The 23,055-nt window shown below is 39.3% G+C and overlaps 1 pseudogene, besides 2 other annotated features; it reads right to left on the bottom strand.

Annotated features, from left to right (window-relative positions):
* Positions 14,340-14,629: an enhancer, noted in NCBI's record as "active region_22932". NCBI's record gives its function as "activates an Ori minimal core promoter by ATAC-STARR-seq in GM12878 lymphoblastoid cells {active_cell/tissue: GM12878}" and the evidence as "EXISTENCE:reporter gene assay evidence [ECO:0000049][PMID:35858748]".
* LOC112267949 (COX assembly mitochondrial protein homolog) lies at positions 19,261-19,548 on the bottom strand (annotated as a pseudogene).
* Positions 21,331-21,470: an enhancer, noted in NCBI's record as "active region_22931". NCBI's record gives its function as "activates an Ori minimal core promoter by ATAC-STARR-seq in GM12878 lymphoblastoid cells {active_cell/tissue: GM12878}" and the evidence as "EXISTENCE:reporter gene assay evidence [ECO:0000049][PMID:35858748]".

The following is a 23,055-nucleotide window of genomic DNA, read 5'->3' as shown; positions in this document are numbered from 1 at the left end:
CATGGTTAGTGAGAATTAATACTTTTCCCACAAGGTTTTTATGAGGAGAGAATAAAGCATTTAAAAGGCTAAGTAGAGTACCCGGCACATAATTTCTTTTTTTTTTTTTTTTTGAGACGGAGTCTGGCTCTGTTTCCCGGGCTGGAGTCCAGTGGCTTGATCTCAGCACACTGCAAGCTCCGCCTCCCGGGTTCCCACCATTCTCCTGCCTCAGCCTCCCGAGTAGCTGGAACTACAGGCGCCCGCCACCGTGCCCGGCTAATTTTTTTTTTTTTTTTTTTTTTTTTTTAGTAGAGACGGGGTTTCACCGTGTTAGCCAGGATGGTCTCGATCTCCTGACCTCGTGATCTGCCCGCCTCAGCCTCCCAAAGTGCTGGGATTACAGGCGTGAGCCACCGTACCCGGCCCTTGGCATATAATTTCTAAATAAAAGTAATAGTATTATTATTTGATGGAAAAGTGAATCATTAATATAAACACTAGACGTATTTGGATTTTAACCTTTAAACAAACTTTATGTCTATAATGAGCTTATTTTATACTTGATTAAAAATGTAGGCTGGATGCAGTGGCTCATGCCTGTAATCCGAACACTTTGGGAGACTGAGGCAGGAGGATCCCTTGAGCCGAAAGGTTCAAGACCAGCCTGGGTAACATAGCAAGACCCTACCTCTACAAAAAAATTTAAAAATTAGCTGGGTATGGTGTCGCAAGCCTATAGTCCCACCTACACAGGAGGCTGAGGTGGGAGGATTGCCTGAGTCTGGGAGGTTGAGGCTATAGGGAGCTGTGATCATGCCATTGCAATCCAGCTTGGATGACAGACTGAGACCCTATCTCAAAAAAATAAAAATAAAATTTTATTTTTTGAAATCTGGAATACAAAACTGAAGAGTGCAGCTGATAGTCAAAATGAGTATGTTGATATACTTTCTCAAAAGATGGGAAATTTGAGAGGTAGTAGGAGGAAAGAGCTTAGAATTAGAAATGCTTCATTCTTAATTTTGAATCATGACCTAATGCAGTAAAATTCTGTAACATCATTAAAAATAAGGCCTGAAATAGCAGGCCTTAGAATAAGAAATTTGCTAAACTTTTCAAAAGCTATACTTTGAAGGGTCTCAATTGTATTGTCTTTCAAACATGGAGAACTGATTTCTAATTCTGCATATAAGGGGAAATTGGCCACATTTTCAGTATTACGAGCAGACTCCTAATGCTCAAAGGAATTATGTTCTGTCTTTTATTGCCTGTGGGAGGAGTGTTGCTAAGAAACAGAATTCCTGATACATTCTGAGGAAAGCAGCTTGTCATTTTAGTGATGCACTGAGAATAAAATGCAGTGAAGGCAATGTATTTTCAAGATCTGAGACTGTTTCTAGCCAAAGAAGACTGCATCTCTGGCTGATTAGATGTAATACATTTGGTTATGTGAAGCTCAGAAAACAAACCTTTAAAGCCTGTGTATTGATGCTCTAGAAGCCTATATGGCCTGCCAAATCATTGTTTCGTGTTTGATGGATGAAAAGCAAAGAGCTATAGAGTTTGAAGGATGGAAGGAAACGAATATACCCTGAGCACTTCCATGTAAGCATTAGGCTCGGCTCCCTCACAGACACATCTCATGGACTCTCCATGATAACTTGTGAAGGAGGTGCATTATTTCCATTTTACAGATGAGGGAATGCATTCACCTGAAACGTGACCAAAGTCACAAGGTTACTAAGTGTCAGAACTCATAACATCAAGCCTGTGCTCTCTGACTCCAAGTGCAGAGTTCTTGCCACTACACTTACCATGTGTCTGTTTCCGTTTTCAGAGACGAAGTAGGGTCAGAGTTAGATCACAACTGCAGAGGAGATTGGGCAAATTATTTAATGTCAAAACACAGGCCTAGACTTTGAAGAAGGCCTAGATTTCTGGTTTCCTTTGCTTCAGAACGGGCACTTCCTCGTCACTTTTTGTCCTCTAAGGTCCTACACCCTCAGGTGAATATGCTTTCTTGCCAGAGATCTGTAAGGTACACAGAGTAGGGAATTACTGACAGTCTTTCAGTAATAATACTGTCTGGTACAGTGTAGGTTATCTGAAAGGCTACGGATCTTCAGGGTCTCTTCTCATTTTGTTTCTGTACCACCACGTTTTTAGACTTTCACCCTCACCTTTGTGGCACTCATATCAGTCTTCTCCATTATGGTAACTGTGTTCATAAATAGCTCATGGGAATAGACATTGTATTTGGAAGTAGAAAAATTCATTCGACAAGTATTAATTGGGAGTATACTATGTGATAGGTGACATTACAGGGCTGGAGAATTAGCAGCAATTAAGACAAAGTTCTTGTTCTCATCAATCTTATCTTCCCATGAAAGAGAAACATGCAAAAAGAATGTCAGATTATGTGTGCTGCAGAAAATCCCAACGTAGAGGGATGAAGAGTGAGTGAGAATGGGACTGGAGGGCAATATAGAGGTGACTGATTACGGAGGCCTCTCCAGGGATCGGCTGTTTGAACTGAGATCTAAGAGGTAGAAAGGAGCAAGCTGTGCAGCCTTCTGGAGATACAGTGTGGAAGGCAGAGAGAAGAGCAAGCATAAGGGTCTGAGATGGGCTCTCACTTGCTCATTCAAGGAATGGCAAGGACATAGCACAGGTGTGGAAGAGGTTGACAGGTGCATTATATCAGGTCTTGTTGGCCATGTGGAGGAGCTAGGGTTTTATTCTGGGTGTAATGGAAAGCTGAGAGATGGTTCTGACCTGGAACTGACATACTCCATGTTATTAAAACATAACTGGCTGCTGCCTAGAGAATCAGTTGTTGCAAGTAGAAGCTTAGAAACCTTTAAAGGGCTCTTGCTGTGGGCAAGAAGAAGGAGACTGGGACTAGGGTGTTAGCTGTGGAAATGGGAAGAAGTGGAAAAACAGGCTAACACTTGGAGGTAGTTCCTAAAGGATTGCTGGTGGATTAAATGAGGAGTGTGAGGGGAAGAAGAGGAATCAGGGGCTCTAGACAAATACTTGGCAACTTGTCACTTTCTTAACAGTTATAGAACAAAACCTGTCCTGCTTTTGATAATCCAGTCATTTTCATTCTTCTTTGAACCACAGCAGCCAGCAGTCACTGGCAGTATATATTTATACATGAGTCCTAATGGAATTTTTATAGTCAAATATTTATAAATTTTAAAGATTAATTTAATTTTGTTACTGAAAGGAAAGAGCAAATATTCCTTTAGCTATCAGAATCTTAAAAATTAAAGAAAATCCAAAGACATAAATAAAGGAACTCTGCATATGATTGTTGGTTCACATGTGATATTGTTTCGATGTTACATTACCAGCCCTTCCCTCCAAATCTCATGTTGAAACGTAATTCCCAAAATTAGAGGTGGGGCCTGGTGAGACGTGTTTGGGTCATGAGGCAGATCCCTCATAAATGTTTTGGTGCTGTCCTTTTGAAAGTGAGTTCTCATGAGATCTGGTTGTTTAAAGTATGTCGCACCTCTCCTCGCTCTCTCGCTCCTGTTTCTGCCATGTTATATGCCTGCTTCCCCTTCACCTTCTGCCATGATTGTAAGGTTCCTGAAGCCCTCGCCAGAAGCAGGTACTGGAGCCATGAGGTATAACCTGCAGAACTGTGAGTCAATTGAACCTCTTTTTCTTTATAAATTACCCAGCTTCAGGTATTTTTTTATAGCAATGCAAGAATGGCCTAATGCAACATGGAACATAAAAATAAAATCTACAATGAAAAAAATTTTTGTTAAACATTGGCCATTTAGAGATTCATAGGAAATATTAAGACAATTTAACTATCTATGGTTGGAGTACATGTGTCTCCTCAAAATAATATTAATAGCTCAAAAGTGAAAAAAAGCAAGACTATTTAGCTTATGGGTCTTCAAGGAGTGCAGAAATTTACATACACCTGAGTATTAAAACAAAAAAAGAGAACACGAATATATGGCATACACACTGTGAGAAATACATGCCAAAATAAATATATGGCATGCACTCTTTTTCATTGCTCTCTAAATGAAAGGGAGACAGTATCTCCGTTGGAATATACGATATTCCTTCTGGTATAAATTTATGACAATCACCATGCAAAGAAGTCATCCTGGATTGCTAAGTCAATATTGTGTTACATTACATTGACATAATGTATTATGTTAGATGCTGTCATCAAATTAATACTTAAAAGTACGTAACAGAGATGAAAACACTTTTATCAGTGAGTCACCTGGTGGTCTGGAGTGGACATTTATTCTCCTTCCCACCACCACCCTAGCATCATCTGTTCTTGTCTTCTTGAAACAGCCTTATGATTTTGTTTGAGACTAATTCCTCCCCTGGTGGTTACAGCCTTAGTGGGGTTGTTCTGCTAACACTGATCAAGGTGGGGCAATCAGATGCACTATCTCCTGATTAGAATCTTGATGTAATACAAACATTAAAAAATGGCTGGCACTCATTCAACTCAACAATGGCATCTTGAAGAAATCCCTGCTATTGGTTTCAACTACCTAGATTCCCAGAGCAGCCTGGTTCCTGTGCCTGTTGAGACCTGGTTCTTCAGCTTTCCCTCAGCAAGTATCTGCTACCATATGCCCTTAATAAATCCTATTATTTGCTAAGTTATCTGGGGTTAGTTTCTAATGCTTGCAGCTGAAGAATCCTAACTGAAACACAGTTAAATTTTATCTTTTTAGTAATAAATCCTTGCTTCAATAAAAATTGTTTCACTGTTTTGCAAAAGAACGCTTGAAGAGACTTCTGTGCTCTTTAAATACCTAGTTATAGCTAAGACTTTAGAAGGCAATTGTGTTAAGAATCTGTGTATTTAAGAATGACTTTAGATTCCCAATCAGTTCTCATGGCTTTCTCAGGGAGACACAGTGTGATATGAGTGTTCATTCAAACATATGCTGCTATTATTCCTACAAGTTTTCTTTTTATATGGTTTAAAACAACTATGTGTCCTGTACGGTTTTTGAAGGTTCATATTCAGTTGTCGTTGCCTTTTTTGTCTTTGGAAGTGTTCAAAATTTATTAAAATTTGCCAGAATGCCACTTTTTCACTTGTGATTTGCTGTCAAGAGAAACAGTAGAAGGCACACATGGGGGAATCAGCCAAGGCACACACGGGGGATCAGCCAAGCAGAGATGTGAGCGTGGGCAGGGCCTGGCCTAGTGAATTCACGTGTGGAATGCTAGGCCAGCCCTGCCCAGGCTCACATCTCTGGATGGCTGATCCATGCAGAGATGGATGAACTCATTTTGGAAGATGAAAGAAGAAAAGGGTGTTCATCTTTTCTTTTCTCTAGTATTTTTTAACACCTTTAACATGTGTGATTCTGCACAATAAGCCTGTTGCTTTCATATTGCCTCCTTGTTTGAAATGAAGAAACTACGATTTAAACAAGATATTCACAGAGATGCAGAAGGAGAATAAAGCTGCTCAAGAGAAAAGCAACCTAAGTTGTAAATGACATGAATGGCAGGAGGAGTAGGAAGATAATTAACTTATGCAACCAAGTTCATGCAGAAGGGATGTTGAGCTAAGGGTGGGGCAATGCCTGCTTTTATTTGTCATAGGCAAGGTACCAGTAGAGTGTGAGCAATGCTCTATATTAAAAAATAAGGTGTTGGATGTCATCACTGATGCTGCATTTTCTTCCAGCATTGAGTTATGGTTGGAGGAGATCTCTGAGAGACACACTAGTCACTTTACTTGCTTTTCTGCCAATCACTTCAAGCAATATTTTTTATTACCCTAAATTGTCAGATCCCTGTTCCCCAGCCTTCATCTTTCCACAAAGGTTCTTCCATTACCAGCCCTTCTCTCCATTCCTTACTCCAAAGGAGATATAATTACCCGACTGTGAAGCTTGTTGACTTAGACCTGTCAGGTGTCTCTCTGGCCAGCCTGCTCTAAGATAGTTGCATTCTCCATTCACTCCTGCCCCCCATGCAGTAAGCACACCTGGGTCAGGCCCCAAACCTACCTTCTGCAGGCACTTCTGGGTATCTCTGTCTCTCTGTCTTTGCTATCTGGGCTAAACAGGTACGAGGCAGCAATTTCCTCTGTAGCAGAATAGGTAGGCTTTGCATGGTCTGGAGGCTCAGCCTCTTCTGCAGATGGATTTTGGTCAGTACTATGAAGAAATCAAACCAGTGTAAGGGGATGTAGGTAGGGGAGAAAAGAGGATAGGCAGTGTATTCAGGGAAAGCCCCTCTGAGGAGGTGACATTTAAGCTGAGACATGAATGCTATAAAGGAGAAAGCCATTGTGAAGATTTGGGGACATACTGCTTCAGGCAGAGGATAGAGCAAATGTGAAGGGCTTGAGGTGAGAACTAGCCTGAATTTTCTAGGCTTGGATTTTCCAGGAATAGCAGAAAGGCCATGGTGGGAGAGTGGTAGGATATAAGATAAGAGACAGAGGTAAAGGCATGAGTAGAGATTGGAAAATTGAGACAGAGTTAACAAAGGAGACTGAGAAAGCAGTTGCATTCTGTTAGTTCTCCAAAGAAAGAGATCAAATTAGATAGATAGGTAAATAGATATAGATCTCGTGTGTGATATATATGCATAATTCCATAATTATATATATAATTTATGATAAGGAATTGGCTCACAGGATTGTAGAGGCTGGGAAGTCTACACCTGCAGTGCAGGTTAGCAGGCTCAAGACCCAGGAGAGTCAATGGTACAGATGAAGTTCAAGGGCAGGTCTACTGGAAAATTCTCTCCTACTCAGGGGCAAGTTGGTCTTTTTGTTCTATTCAGGCCTTCAACTGACTGAATGAGGCCCACCTATATTATGGAAGGCAATTTTCTTTACTCCAGCAATTCAAATGTCACTCTCATGTTAAAATTTACCAATTTAAATGTTTATCTCTTCCTGAAACACCCCAACTTAGAACAGAAACACCCATAATAATGTCTGACCAAATATGTGGGCACTCCATGGCCCAGCTAAGTTGACAAATAAAATTAACCATCATAGCAATACAGTGAAGTAGGAAAGTTGGCTTCTTGATACGATTTTAACACTTTCTCCTTTGCATGTGAGCTGAACAAAGGCAGCAAAAAAAAAAAAAAAAAGAAAAAAAAAGGCACATTTAAGCCCACATTTTAACTAGAAGCACAGCTGCCTGGAAGGGACATTAAGTCTGGCTAGGCCAACTTTCCATTCAATGAAGATTTTTCAGTCTCTGTTTAAATACTTCCAGTGCTGGGGAGGTAACTATATTTATTATAAGGCAAAAAGTTCTGTTAATGTGAGTCTCTATTAAACAATTATATTGAGGAAAAAATCGTGCTCATGAAGCCTGAATATCCCTCAGCTTCTCTAGCATGTAGTAAGGGCACAGCCCATTAACATTAACATCTGAATGTGTTAACTCTGAAGCACCACTACTGCAGAGGACTTTGCCAGTTCTGGAGCATTGCAGAGTTTGGGGACAGCTCTATCAGTCCTGGACTACAAATATATTTTTTCCCAGGGCACAAACATGCCCCCACATAGTTGGGTCAGGATGGATTCAAATATTGTTTATCTGAAACCACTTGTCTCTGACATGCAAGTCTTGCTGCCGACTCTGCCAGGCTGCCTCAAAGTGGTAAATTCACTCTTACAGGCCTCTCTGATCCCATAAGCTGGCTTCTGTCAAAGTCCTAAAGGCTGTCAGCCTTGTCTGTATATGTCTGGACCCAACTGTAGACACATTTTTTTTTCCAGCTTACATTTAGATCAGTAGACATAAATAGATATGAGGAGAAAGGGGTGTGGTCCAACTCCAAATACATATTTAAGTATTAGCTCCATTCTGGCTAAAATGCTTTAGTTGGAATGACCACACATTGGTCCCAGTTTTGTCCCCTGGCGACACATCTCCTTTTTACTCTGTAGTCAGAACACAACTTTGTTCTAATACTAACTCTATTTTTATGAAAATGTGATTAAATTGCAACCTAGACATTGACGAACAAGACTATTTCTTTGTAAATGAATCTCCTGAATATAAACCCAGCTGAGAGGCTACCAGAAGACCAGTGTTTTCAATGTTGGTGGAGAAGCAGGTTTCAGAACACTGTGTAGATGCTGCTCTTTAAAAATCTCTGATGGGAAATTGGCCACAAGAGAATATTCAAGTTAGTCCAAAGAAAGAGGATTACAGAATAGAAAGTCCAGAAATAAATCCATGCATCTACAGCCAAGAAAATCTACTGATTTTCAACAAAGATGTCAAGAACACGCAATGGAGAAAGGACAGTCTCTTCAATAAATGATGCTCAGAAAATTGGATATCCACATGCAGAAGAATGAATCTGGACCCCTGTCTTTCACCATATAGAAAATTCAACTCAAAATGGGTTAAAGACAAATGTAAGACCCAAAACTATAAAACTCCTGGAAGAAAACACATGGGAAATGCTTCATGACACTAGACTGGGCAATTACTTTTTTTTGGATAAGACCAAAAGCAACAGCAAAAAATTAGACAAATGGGAGTATATCACACTGAAAAGTTTCTGCACAGCAAAGGAAACAATCAGCAGAGTGAAGAGAACCTACAGAATAGGAGAAAATATCTGCAAACTATACATCTGAAAAGGAGTCAATAGTCAGGATATATAAGGAACTCAGTAGCAACAAACCCACCCCCAAAAGTCCCAAATAATCCAATTAAAAATGAGCAAAAGACCTGAATAGACATTTCTCAAAAGAAGGCATGCAAAGGGCCAATATGCATATGAAAAAAATGCTCAACATCACTAATCATCAGGGAAATGCAAATCAAAACCACAATGAGATACCACTTCACTATAGTTAGAATGGCTATTATCAAAAAGACAAAAGATACAAGTGTTGGCAAGGATATGAAGAAAAGTAAACCCTCACACACAGTTGGTGGGAATGTAAACTAGTATAGCCACTGTGGAAAACAATATGGAGGTCCCTCAAAAAATTAAAAATAGAACTACCATATGATCCAGCAATCCTGCTGCTGGGTATATATCCAAAGGAAATAAAATCAGTATGTCAAAGAGATGCCTCACTCTCATGTTTATTGCAGCACTATTCACAATAGCCAAAATATGGAATCAACCTAAATGTTCAAAAACAGATGAATGGATAAAGAAAATGTAGTACTTGCACACAACAGAATACTATTTGGCCATTAAAAAAAATGAAATCCTGTCATTTGTGACAACATGGGTAAACCTGGAGGACATAATGTTACATGAAATAAGTCAGACACAGAAATATAAATGCTACATGTTCTTACTCATATTTTGGATCTTAAAAAGTTGATCTCATAGAAATAGTGAATAGAATAGGGGTTAACAGAGGCTGAGAAGGGAAGGATTGGAGAGAGGTTGCCCAGTAGGTGCAAAGTTAAAATTAGAAAGAATAAGTTAGGTATCCTATTGCACAGTAGGGTGATTATAGTAAACACTAAGGTATATCTTAAAATACTTAGAGGATTTTGAATGTTCCCATCACATAGAAATGATAAATGTTTGAGGTGATGGATGTGCTACATGATGATTTGATCATTATGTAATGTATATATATTTTGAGACATCACTTTATACCTCATAAATACATATAATTATTATGTGTTAGTTAAAACAAAAAAGATTAATACGGGGCATGGCCCAACCTCTTTAAAGCTTTGCTTTCTACTTTAAGAAGTGAAAAACTGAATAAATAATATTCTGGAGGGGATTAGCTTATTCAGAACATGGCTGGCAAATCTCGAGTATTTTTAGCTTTCTATTTCTTTTTTATTTTAGCTTTCTATTGTGGATTACATATGTCCCCCCAAAATCCATTTATTGAAATCAAATCCCCAATGTGGTGGTATTTGGAGGTGGGACCTTTGAGAGATGAGTGGGTCATGAGGTGGAGCCCTCATGAATGGGATTAGTGCCCTGATAAAAAAGACCCTAGAGAGCTCCCTCACCCCTTCTGCCATGTGAGGACACAGTGAGAAGACACATCTAAAAACAAGGAAGTGGGCCCTAACCAGATACCAGATATAGTGGCACCTTGATCTTGGACTTCCCAGCCTCCAGAACTCTGAGAAATACATTTCTTTTGTTTAAGCCCTCTAGTCTATGATGTTTTTGTTATGGCAGCCCTAATGGGCTAAGACATCTGCTGTTTGCACAGACTAGGACATAACATCTTTTGTCCTGATTTGTTTCATTAGAAAATTCAGTAGCTATAACTTTTAAAAATGTATTTTTAATCCTGAGGAGGACTGGTTACACAAATCTGCACAAATGATATTTTTGGCCACTGGGCTCTAGTAAGAAATTGAGGACACCACTGAACAGAGATTCTCAGCAGACATGAACCACTCTGTGTGCAAATCTTTTTTTTCCTCCTCTGTAGTGCAATGTTCTTTCATCTCTTTCCCAAGCCCCTCATCCCCTCACAGAATCATAAACTTTGTACCTCCAAGAATTACATGTGCATACCAGCATTCACATTTTCTCCTCAAAAATGAAGTTTCTAGTATTTATAAGAATACTTACGCTTTTATAGTATTTGTGATGATATCATTTGTTATTAAATTTTGATCATTTAATTATAAACTGCTTGAGAAAGGGATAATATCACAAATAACTGTTAGGCTTATATGTTTTAGATAACATCCTGCGCTTAAAGAACTATAATTATTTGGTGAAGGGGTAAAAATAATAAATGCATTATATCTATACATTAACATATTGTTTGAAAGTAAATTGCTTTCTTTTAAAAAGGGACTATATACTTAGTATAAACGGTTTTTTAAAATATTTTACAAAAATGAATGTCATTGTAATTTCACTATTCACATATAACCACTACTAAAATTTTGATGTGTTTAGTCTCTGATTACTGGAAAATCACAGTAAACAACTGTTTTTGTAAGTGGAATGTTTCTGGTATAATTGTATTGTTTCTAGCTCTTATCTCACTGCAATTATGTGTTAATAGATACAAAGAAGCTAATGTTATTTCTCATATTTATTTTATTTAAAGAGAATCCTCTCTGGATTCAGGGGTGAGTGGCTTCATTGACATTACTGTTTAAATTCGAAAGGTGCCTGCAGAAGCTAAGGTTCATCACTCAGGAGAAGCAACCCCAACCCTACCCTATTGAACTTCAGGGTTTGAGGATGTGCCGTAAGTGAAAAACAAAACAAAACAAAAAACCCCACTAAAGCAATTATTTGAATGATTGAGAAGGTTTTCTTTGTGTGTTTCTTACCTTTTGCTTTGGTGATCAGGCAAAGTTGTTTTGAGATCTGAGTTATCTGGAAGCTCTTCACTTTTCTACTTTTGTGGCTTTCACTAATGGGCTAAAAATGTTCCCGTTGTGTCAATCACTAGACAACCTTTCCAAATGCTACTTTTTCCTCCCAAAAATGTAGTTTAGCCATCGTTGGGCTGAAACTCCCCTCCCTTGAAGGTGAAGGGCTCTAGGCCTCAGGATTCTCTTGGAAGATGCTATAAACTGTTTTGCTTAGCACCCATTCCAGCCATCTTTTAGCTTGGCTTCCAGTTCAAAGAGGGTAGAGAGCTAAACATTCATTTTTCCACATCCCTTGAAGTGGGGGTTCTGCATGTGACCTTGCTTCAGCTAAGGTGATGGTTCTTTGTGAGACTCGGAGGTGGAGTATAGTAAGGCATTGGCTGGGCACAGGAGTGGGATGGGAAACAGTTCTTTTGACAGGCATGGTGCTAGAGCCATCTGTTCTTTGGGGGCAGCCGAGGCAGCGTTTCTGGCATCAGCCCTTATCAATGTAGATGCAGTGCCACAGACAGCAGGAGTGTGTGTTCTGCCAAAACAGTCATGTGGTGTGGGGTGGCTTTCTCCTAGGGCTCAGGTCTCTGGTCCTCCCAGATTCTATAAGCTTCTCAGATCTTTTCATGAACCCCTTTGTTTACCCTAGACAGAAAGGACTCACTTGACTGCAAATAAGAACTGGACTGTAGAATAAGATGTATGGACTAGAGCCATGGGAGTTGGCAGACGTTTGAATTTGTTGGATAGTAAAATTTCAACAAAATATTTTGGAACTTTGTTAAAGTTGCCAACATTTTGTTTTTCCAAGAAAGGATTTTAACAATACACAATTTATTATCACTATAACTTAGCTAAAGAAATGTTTCGAAGACTAAAAGATGGAAAGAACATACACTCAGAAAAAAATAATTTTCAAGTTGAAATAATCTTACTTGATGAAAAATCTCACAGTAAATCCTTATGTCTTCTTTTTATTGTCCTTGGTAAAACTCATTCATAGAAAATTATTGGGAAACCATTGGTCTAGGAGGGGTCAGCAAGCTTCACTCCACCACTGGCTATTTTTGTAATAAAGTTTCGTTGGGATACGGTCTTGCTTATTCATTTACATAATGTCTATGGCTGCTGTAATGCTGCAGTGACAGACTTGAGTAGTCAAGGCAGTGACCATATGGCCTATAAAGCTGAAAATATTTACTGTCTGGTTCTTTAACAAAATAAGTTTGCCAACTCTGAATGACCTAAGGGATTCCTTCTATCTAGATGATTCTAAAAATCCTTGAGTGATACCTTTAAGGATTTGCTTAATAGATCCACTGTTTGCACTCCCAAAGTCGATGGGAAATTCATTCCTTCAGCAAACATTTACTGAATCCCTATTATGTGCCAGGCTCTCTTCTGGGGACTGGGAATATAGGAATGAATTAGAAAAACAAGTTTCCTAAGTTCATACAATGCATGTTCCAGTGAGAGGAGACAGACAGTAACAAGTAAATGAATAAATAAATAATATTATTTTATGTAGTAATGAATGTTTCCATGAAAAACCAATAGGTGCTTTACTGAAGACTGATCCAAGGGGAGGGTGACTGTGTCCTCATTTAGGAGAGGTGCTCAGGGATAATTTTCAGCTCTTCATTTCTCTTTCTGTGGAATGGGTTTGACCACAAAAGAGTATAGTTAGAGATCGTGTGTAAGTACTTATGCCAGGGCCAATTCATGATAGTGCGGTGAGGGGTGGGGGTCAGGAAAAGGAGCATAAATACATAACCCAGAGAACATAGTCACAGGTTACAAAAATTTGAAGTCCTCAATCTTGGAAAAATAGGTCAAATAACAGAGCTACACAACTAAATCCTAGCTGTGTGTTTTAGACTTTTTTTCTACAGCAGAACACAAAAATAAGTTGAAGAAAAAAAAATAACTTACCTCACATAGAACATTGTGATATAGTTTTGAAGAGTTGGGAGCAACACATGCTTTTGTGTGTTTTCTATATGCTTTATATCTTTTTATAAAGCTGCACTGTAGGAGGTGGGGACATGCTCTCATAAGGATGGAAAACTCCTAAAGAGAAAATTAACAGTGATACTGAATTGGCAGACAGAAGTATTATAGTAACCCTCTTCTCAGGAGAGAAATCTTATTTATTTTTCTGTTTTTCCTTGTTTAAATATAAGGTATGTTTTCCTTTAGTTTATTTTAGCAAATTCATGACACAAAATAAACCAGCATAATTAAACTCATTTATCCCAATCTAAATCTCTGGTCAGCAAAGTTTTCAAAGCCAAAACCAAATGAAACCAAAAATACCCTTAGTCTGAACTTTAATACCAATATAATTTCTTTTCAGGAAGAAGAACATTTTCTTTTCTTTCTCTCTTTCTTTTTTTTTTTTTTTTGCCCTTAGTTTCTTAAGATCAAATACCTCAAATCATGACCAATGGTAAAATATGGATAGTATTGACCGAATCCCTACTGTAGCATTTGAGACTGATGTTAAAATATGGATTAGAGATGTCTGATCTTTTGCTTGTTTTGAAACAATGAGCTCCATATTGTAAAAGTGGCAGAGTTCTTATGGTCCCTGGTTGAGCATAGCAAATTCCTGATCCGTGGGAGCATGTTTATATTGCAATGATTCTAATTTACCCATAAATAAATTATTCTCCTCTGAGGCCCATAATAAATATAGTTTTAATTGCATGCCAACTGTTAGACCCTAAAATTAGACAGCTTTGGTCCTCCTTTGCCAATGGGAGGAGGTGTTCTAGAATCTGAGTTGAGATTTGCTGTGGCTCTAGAGGCACTTTGGGAGACAGAAGAGGCAGAGATATTTCTGATGACTGTCTAAACAGATTTCAGTTGTAGAAATGTTATTTCTGGGTCAGACAGAAGCCACGTTCAAATGTTTTCCAACAAGCTGAAGGGTCGTGCCTGGCCCTGCTTTTTATCATTTCTCTTCTTTTGAATCCCCCGAGTCCATTTTCACAGATGAAGCCAAAGAGGGTGAGTCAGAGACTGCCCTCCTGGCTTGTTCCAGTGTTCACTCTTCCTTAATTAGCAGAAACAGTACCCACTTAGAAAAGATGTTTGTGCCCTGGTGACGAAGTGCCTTCAAATTGAGTCACTCTCTGAAGAAAAATGTGGGACAATCTTACAAATTAATTTTAGCACAAGGGAATACAGGCCATGTGTGAAATTAGGTTGACCGCAATAGAAGTGAGCTTATGAGCAAGCAGGAGATTTTGAGCTCCCCCAACCCCCATCAGCACTCCTTTCTCACCTCTGCTCAACACAGCAATTTACACACCTTCAAAGCTGAGCAGCTTTGGGCAAGGGTTTCCCGATTCCTCATTGGAAAAATAGGGACAATAACAGTACCTGCCTCATTGAGTTGTTGAAAGGATTAAATCAGACGATGCTTATAAGGTGCCTGCACACACGTGTCACAAAGAGGTCGCTGTCCCCTCCTCCCCTTTCCTTCTGGGAGGCGTACTCTTCAGGAAGCATCTCTAGTTCTGCTTTATGCTTGTTTCCCATTTTTCTCTGTACTCACCTTCTTTTTCTGTGTAATGGTAAGGGCTGATGCACCAGAATAGATTTCTTTTGAGAGAAAAGGTACCTGTATGCTAATACTGAACTCAAAAATCCCCTAGTTCTTGCTTAACATGGCAATTGCTAGAAATCAGTTAACAAGCCAGGGATCCTGGAGGAATCTCAAGATCAAGTGTGATGATGGAAGTCAGGCCATTCCTGTCTGTTACCACTTTGGCATTCTGAAAGCTTGCTTTCCTCCCTGAACGTATTCTAGGGCTAAGCACCAAATGTGCTTTAGTTCCTCAACTCACATTTTCAACAGATAAAAGCAAATCTTTTAAAACAATTATTCAAACAATGTTGGAGGATTCCACTGTTTTTTCAAACAGCAGGTATCATCTTTTTACCTTTTTACTAGTTAAAAATGTATTTATTTAGATACATTAAGAATGTCACTGAAATTCCTACAACTTTGTTTTTCAGTTACAAACTAGTATTTGGTCAGCGGCACAATTATTTGGATTTTTTGTTTCTTTCTCCTTTGGGAAAAATATGAATTTTCATTCCTCTTTCATAATGGTCCTTGTTCACCTTTGCTATGCTTTCAAATTTCTTTTCTGTTTAGATCTGTTCTTCTACACTTAAAAGCATGTTTCAGAAATTTCCAAAATGCTGACTAAAACATTTGGTGCTTCTTCTTGTGCTTCTCCCAACAACTTTGCACCAAAAAGTTTATGATAACATTTTGACTCTGGGCTTCTTAGGATCTCCTTTGTCCATGTTTAGTTATTTCTCCAAAGGTTAGAAAATAATGTTGCTGATTCTTGTGCTTCCATTACTTAAGAAATAAACAGGAAGCAAGAGAAACAAAGGAAACAAATTCCAGAAGCAAATTCCAGGCTTCAATTAAGTATAGATTTCCCAGTGATTTCTTTAAAACTATATCATCTGCCTAAGACTTTGCTTCTATGAGAGTGGGGTAAAAGTCTTGTGTCCTCTGAGAGGGTTTAGGTATAGCTGTTAACTGCATTGTAGCTTACTTCCCTATTGGCTTAATTGCACAATGTATTTCTCTATTTTTCCCTGTAAAAATTTTGAATAGATAATACCTGTACATGTTCCATTCTTTTGTGGATCTGCGGGACAACATCATAAACTAGTGCACCTCAACTTTTGTTTGCTTCCACAACACTTCCTTCAGGAAAAACTGCACGGGGGAAATTGATGAAAAGTCATCATTCCCAGTCCCCAACCATCGGTCCCTGCCACCACGTCTATCAGTTCGCTCATATATCCCTTCCGAGATAGTTCAGACATATGCAAGTATGGATGTATACATAATTCCTCCTTACTTTTACACAGTCAGTACCATATCCATCACAATGTTCAGCAACTTGCTTTTCTCATTTAATAATAAGTTTTGGTCATTACAGTATTGTAAGTCAGCACACATAGCTTTCCATGTTTCTAAAGGATGGGTTTTTATCCCCTCCTCTTGTATGTGCATCTGTGTGTAAAGCTTTCACTCAATGATTTTTTATGTGCGTGCAATTAATGCCTGGACCTCTCACTTTTAATAAATAGGAGAATAAACATAAAATTTAAGATCCCTGGCTGTTTAGTGAGTGTTATGGATTTAATGTTTGTGTCCCCTCCACAAATTCCTACTATGATGTCTATATGGTGTCTTAACCCCCAGTGTGGTTATTTTTGGAGACGGGATCTCTAAGGAAGTAATTAATGTTAAATGAGATCCTGAGGGTTGTGTCCTGATCCCATAGAATTCATTTCCTTATAAGAAGATAAATCAGAGAATTCTCTCTCTCTCCCTTTCTGAGATGATAGCCCTCATTAACAGAATCAGCTGGCACCTTGATCTTAGACTTTCAGCCTCCAGAACTGGGAGAAAATAAATGTCTGTCATTTAAACCACCCATTCTGTGGTATTTTGTTATGATAACCTGAGCAAACTAATACAGTGAGGATTCTGTGCTGCTCCAAATTATTGTCTGCTGCTTCCCTCTGTGACTTAACTCTTGAACATGTGTCCAGGATGGTTATTTTCAGGAGAGGGTCATTGTGGAAGGGTCTGTTTCTGGTCCCACTCCAGCACAATTTGATCCTAGAACTGGGGTTTTCCTCTTTGCCATATTCAAAGGACTCTTGGAGTCTCATGCCATCAGAGGAATTTTTGATCTAATAGTCTGTGATACCTTTCTTAGTACAGTCATGTATTGCTTAACAGCAGGAATACATTCTGAGAAATGTGTAGTTAGACAATTTCATTGTTGTGCAAACACCATAGCGTGTACTTACACAATCCTAGATGGTGTAAGTACTACACACCTAGGCTATATGCTATAAGGCAGATTACTATACTAAATACTATAGGCAATCATAACACAATTGTAAGTGTTTGTGTATCTAAATGTATCTAAACATAGAAAAGGTACAGTCAAATACAGTATTATAACCTTATAGGACCGCTATAATATATATGGTCTGTCATTGACTGAAATGTTGTTACACCGTGCATGACTGTCGTCTTGCTTACTTACAACTTCCAAGCAAGTAGAGATCTTTGAGGTGGGGTGAGGAACATGAGTAAGAGTAGGAAGGTAGATCAATGCCAACAATAATTAAATAAAATAAATGGGTTTTTTTGTCCTGTGATCTTATGGATGGGTATATCCCACCCCGCCACCCAACACACACACACACAAATTGACATTAACTAGAGATTTGTTTCTTAGGTGTATTTGACAGTGGTCATGTTTCCAGATCCAGCACAGAATAAACAGCTATTAAGAGTAATAGAAGTCCTGGTGAGGTGGCTCAAGCCTGTAATCCCAGCACTTTGGGAGGCTGAGCTGGGAGGATCATTTGAGCCCAGGAGTTTGAGACCAGCCTGAACTCTATTTAAGAAAAAAAAAAAAAGTAGTGGAGTCGTAAGGGACAGCTATAAATGTTTGATGCTTAAGGGTTATCCAATGAATCATCCTGGTTTATAGCACCCTAATTTTCTTTTGTACTCTGTGTGATGGTCCTGGGAGGAAGCCCAAGGGCCTAGCTGAGGCCTCTTCCTGCCTAGAATAGCCTGGGGGAGACAGGTGACTTGCGCTTGGCCATTGGATGATGCCACCTGTATGTGGCCTCTTGAGAGAGTGGTGTCCCATTGTTGCATTGCTAACAGTAGACATTCATGCCAGTAGTGTGGTTCCAGGCAGCCCCAATGAGTCTTGCTGTGTGACAGACCTTTGCTGTAGGCAGGATCTTCTTTAGACCTGGACAGGAGGGCCCCCCTGGGCTATAGAGGGCCCCACTGTGATCTCTTCTGGCTTCACCTCTGCTCACCTAGAGTCCATATTCTCTAGACTATCCTCCTAGACTATACTCTGGGTACCCAGAATCCTGGGATTCCCTGCCCAAAGGGGCCAAAGCCTGTGAGAGCAGATCAGGCCACCACTGTTTGCAATCACAGGTCCTCAGAGTGGCAGGAGCATCTGTTTGGGAATGTGAGCAATGTGTAGAAAGAGCTTAGACAAGAGGGCTGAGTGTTCTCACCAGTGTGCTTAAGGGCCCTTGTGGTGTGAAATGGGGCGGGGCTAGGATGAAAAAGTGAGTAGGTTGTGAGCTCAACCATGGGCTCTATTTGTGCTCTTGTTCTGGGCCTCATGAATGTTAGGAGGGAGACTGGCTGTGGTCTTGATGCCTTAGTCTGTGTGGAGAAGCCTTGATTCCCGCCTGTGTTCCAAGCCTGACCTTTAGCCTGCTGTAGACTGTGAGCCCCTAAGAACCTTCTAATAAATGTTGTTCCTTAATATAGTCAGAGTTGGTTTCTGTTGTTTATCATCAAGAACACAGACTGAAACAGAAATGTTAAAGGGAATTCATTCTACCTTCCATCCAATAAAGACTGTTAATAAAGCACCCTGGTGAGCATTCTGTTTTCTGGGAGTTAAACACCCAGGTTAGGGGCCACAATCCCACCCTGTGACACACAACCAGAGTCTGCTTCCTCCTCAGGAAGGATCAAGAAAGAATGAACAGATGGAATTGATAAATATCTAAATACAGTTATAGCAAGTTGTCATCCAGGTTTCATTTGTTCTGGAAAAATGACATAATCTGAAACATTTAAGATATTAAATGTTGTTAAAGAAAATTCACCTTTTTTTAGTTAATGCTTTTAGTGGTTTTTTTTTTCCAGATACATCCACTTCAAAGTCTCTGAAATCCATCAATTTCTTTTTAATAAAAGATCTTGATTTCAGATAAAATTAATATTTCTATAATTAGGATAAAGCAAACACACATTCTTATCTTGAGTTTATTATTTCAGGTGATTTATACTAGAAATGACTTCCATGAGTATTAGAGTTCTGAGTGACATTCAAATATTTGCCTACATGCTTATGGGAAGCTTCTGTAGCTTTAACTTAGTAGAAATTCCAGTTTTTCTGAGTTCTTACATTCCTTCAGGTATTCCATTTTGTATTCTTTGTAAAAGACTGGATCATTATAGTAAGCAGTTAAGACAGTCTTTCAATGCAGAATTTTATTTCCAGTATTTTACCACCATAAGGATTCCAGAGTTCTTGCAACACTTGGTAAAATCTTGAACTTTTTCAGAATACCTCTCTCTGGCCATTTTTCTCATTATGTTAGGCATCAGAACATCTTTTTCGACATGTCTTAGTTGCTGCTGGGGTTGAACACCATCTTGGTGGGCAGAGAGGGTGCTGTGTTGCCACCTGGGTCACATAAACCCATCAATCTTTCTAAAAGGCCTTTACTATTTTAGAAGTGTTTTATGTATAGTGCTTACTTATTTACAAGTCTTAACTCCCAAACTGGAATATGTCACCTCTTTGAGGCCAGGAACTCTTGTTACAGTCATCTCTGTAGCACAGTGTTATACACACAGTAGGACCTCAGCAAACAGGTGTTGAAATCATATTTTATTTAGCGTTTATAGTAATCACTACTATATGCTTCTTTGGCGTTTTACATATGCTAATTTAATACCAGTCTCTGTGGGGCTGAGAAGGAGAGATTAAATTTAAAATAAATTTAAATGTATGTATATACACACCACTATCCTATAAGAAAAGTTTAAGGCACATTTAAGAGATTGTAAGTAATGATGCATAAAGATTTGGATAGAAGAGAAAGTAGAGATATTGGAGATTATGGTAAGTAGTGAAATAGTATAGGAAAAAGTTCCAGGCAGGAAGCCAAAGAAAAGCGTAGGTGATAAGAAAGAATGAGACAAAAATTGGAATCGCAGGAGATAATACGTATAAATAATGAGACATCATATGTTGAGTTTCAGTCTTCAAAACATTTTATTTGGAACCTCTCATCTCTGGAGAGAAAAGTGGGCCAATCTTTTTACTGAAGGAGTACCTGATACTCGGAGGCCATGTGGCTCCTAAGAGAAAGAACAAGAATTGAAGCCAGATTTTTCACTGCTCCTCTTGTAGTGACAATTAGCAAAGTAAATAAAAGACAGAATAGAGTAACTGCATCTTTATATGAAAACAGTAAACATGCTAACAATGGCTGCCCTTATTCACAGTTTACACGTGCATTTGTATTAACTTGTTTAATCTTCATAACTTAATGAGCTGTTACTCTCTGTTGCAGATGAGAAAACTGAGCACAAGGCAGTTCAATAACTTTCCCAAGATTCAGTAACTTTCCCAATAACTTTCCCTAAATGGTAGCAGTGGGATCTGATTTTGAATCCTGTTTGTCTCCACAACCACTTCTTGTCTCTTCATTCTGAGCAAGCTTTCTCATCCTGGAGAAGAAAGAGTCTATTGAAGCACTGCATCTAGACTTAATGTTTGTATTCAATAATTTCAATGACTGTTGGTATAACAACCAATCTGATGCCTGTGCCTGTTGCTCAGCCAGAAGTACTAATGATAGTTTCACTTATTAATCACATACTCTGTGTGGCTTAATTTTATTTTCAAGCTTCCATTAGATGTTGGCCTTCGATAGCTGTGGAAACAAAGGCATAGAGGGTAAATAACTTGTTTGCACAGTTAGGAAATGGCAGAGCCAAGAGTTCAGTTTGTGACTCCAAATTTTGTGACTCAAAAGACTCTTCTCTTAGGAGCTCCATTAAATGACTGTAGTGTCCTCTTCACCTCTGTCCCAGATGTGGCTCTCTTCCCTCCCAGAACTCTGTCCTCTAAGAGCCCATAGTTTTCATCACCATTATGGAGGTGGTTGATGTCAGTTGCCTTCTCAACCACCACAACCACCTTCTTGCTTGCTCACAGAGGCATGATTTTGTTCATCTCTTCAGAGGCCAGTGATAGGTTCAGGCATCAGCATGTATAGGAATTCTGGTTAATGAGATATGAGGGAAAGTCTGCTGGTGCATGGTGGTTTCCAGAAAAATTTTCTTTTGTCTTAAAAAGAAAAGAGTGCTCTCTTCCTTCTTCCACTGTGGGAGGGTGTTAGAAGATATCATATCTGGAGTAGTGGCAGTCATCTTGCAACCATGAGGGGACAACCCAAGTTAGAAACAGCCAACTTGCTGAGAAACTCTGAGTGAAGACAGGAAAGAACTTAAGTCCTTGATGAAATCTTTGAACCAATGAATTATCCATTCGGGAACATCTTGAACTCAGGACTTCTTGTCATGTGAATAATAACATATCCTTGCTGTTTAAGTCACTTCTGCCGGGTTTTCTGTCACATACAGTTGCAAGCATCCTAACTGATTTAATTAATATATTCAGCATCACCATCATAATCATTAACACGTATTGGGTGCTTACAATAGCCACTGTATTGAGCTCGTTATGTGCATCTTCTTATTTAATCCTCACCACAACCCTAGGAGCTACGGGCTTTTATAATTTCTACTTTACAGATGAGGAAACTGCAGTTTAAAGAGGTTAATCTGACCAAGGACTCACAGCAGGGAAGTGGCAGAACAATGATCTGAAGAACAAGGCACTCTATTTCCTTCATCTTTATTAAAACTGCAATAAACCACAAGTTTTATTATCCTTGTTTTGTTGATAAGGAACCTGCAGTTCCTCATCTACAAAAAGAGATTAAGTTCTGCCCCCAGCTAGTAAGTGAAAGATTCAAACTGAGGTTTCTCTGATTCCAAGCCTGTGTTTTTCGCTGTATGTTCAGGCTTCTCACTTGACCGCCTTCCCAGACTCTGAAAAGATTCCTTGTTCTCAGACTTTTCTTTAACTCTTTCTTCTCCATTCCTTACCTGTTTTGTGCCCCAGTCTGCAAGCCCCTTGCTTTCTCCTGAATGACAATAGATATTTATCTCTACTTACTAGTGATCTAATTAAGCTACTACATCTCCTAGGAACTGAGTTCCTTAACTTTGTCAACACGCACCTGTTGCTCGGCAGCATGGACACCTTGCTGAGAGGATGGATACCTCAGGCTTGTGGCATAAAAGACACTTGATAGGGTAAAGCATGTGCTTGGGGTGGATCAGGGGAAGGGGCTGGAGGGAATGCTTTCCTGTATGTGGCTCATGGGCTCTGCAACCCTGCTCCTTGGAACAATTAGAATGGAATACAGAAAGCCCCTAAATTTAGACCAAGGGAGAATCAAAATATTGACAATGTTAAAACTTCAGAGGCAAAAAGAGGAGGAGGACAGAGGGAAAGTTAATCACTACTTTCAGTAATGTCAATTTAGTCCGGAGACTCAAACCCCTTGCTCCTCTTGCCCAGTATGCCTCCTCATCTCCTATAGGCTGATCTCATAGTGAGGCTGTGGCTCTTCCTCTCCCACCATGGTTTTCCGCATTTGAGCCAGACTCCTTGCCTTTATTCATGCAGGCCCGGATTATTACTGCTACTCTCCCTCCCCATCTTTCAGCCCAAATCCTAACCATTCTTGAAGACTCAGTGCAAGTCCTACATTCTCCATGAGGCCTTTTTGAAACACATCTGCTTACATGAGTCTATATTTCCCTGAATTTAGGAGTTGTGATGATTCAGCTCCGGAGTGTGGATGCTTCTGAAAGTTGTTTCCACCACTTTCTCTAAAACCTTTGAGCTTCTGAGCTATTGACATGATTGGTCCTTAGAACTGCTGACCCTTGAGGAGTCCTTACCTATACCCTCAGCAGTCTTTCTAAGACCACCACACACCTGTCTAGTGTTTTGCCTGACCTCCATCCTTTCTGTCTTCTTCTGAT

The sequence above is a fragment of the Homo sapiens genome, chromosome 5 (genome assembly GCF_000001405.40).
Source record: "Homo sapiens chromosome 5, GRCh38.p14 Primary Assembly".
NCBI lineage: Eukaryota > Metazoa > Chordata > Mammalia > Primates > Hominidae > Homo > Homo sapiens.
This window is presented reverse-complemented; position numbering and strand designations above follow the sequence as displayed.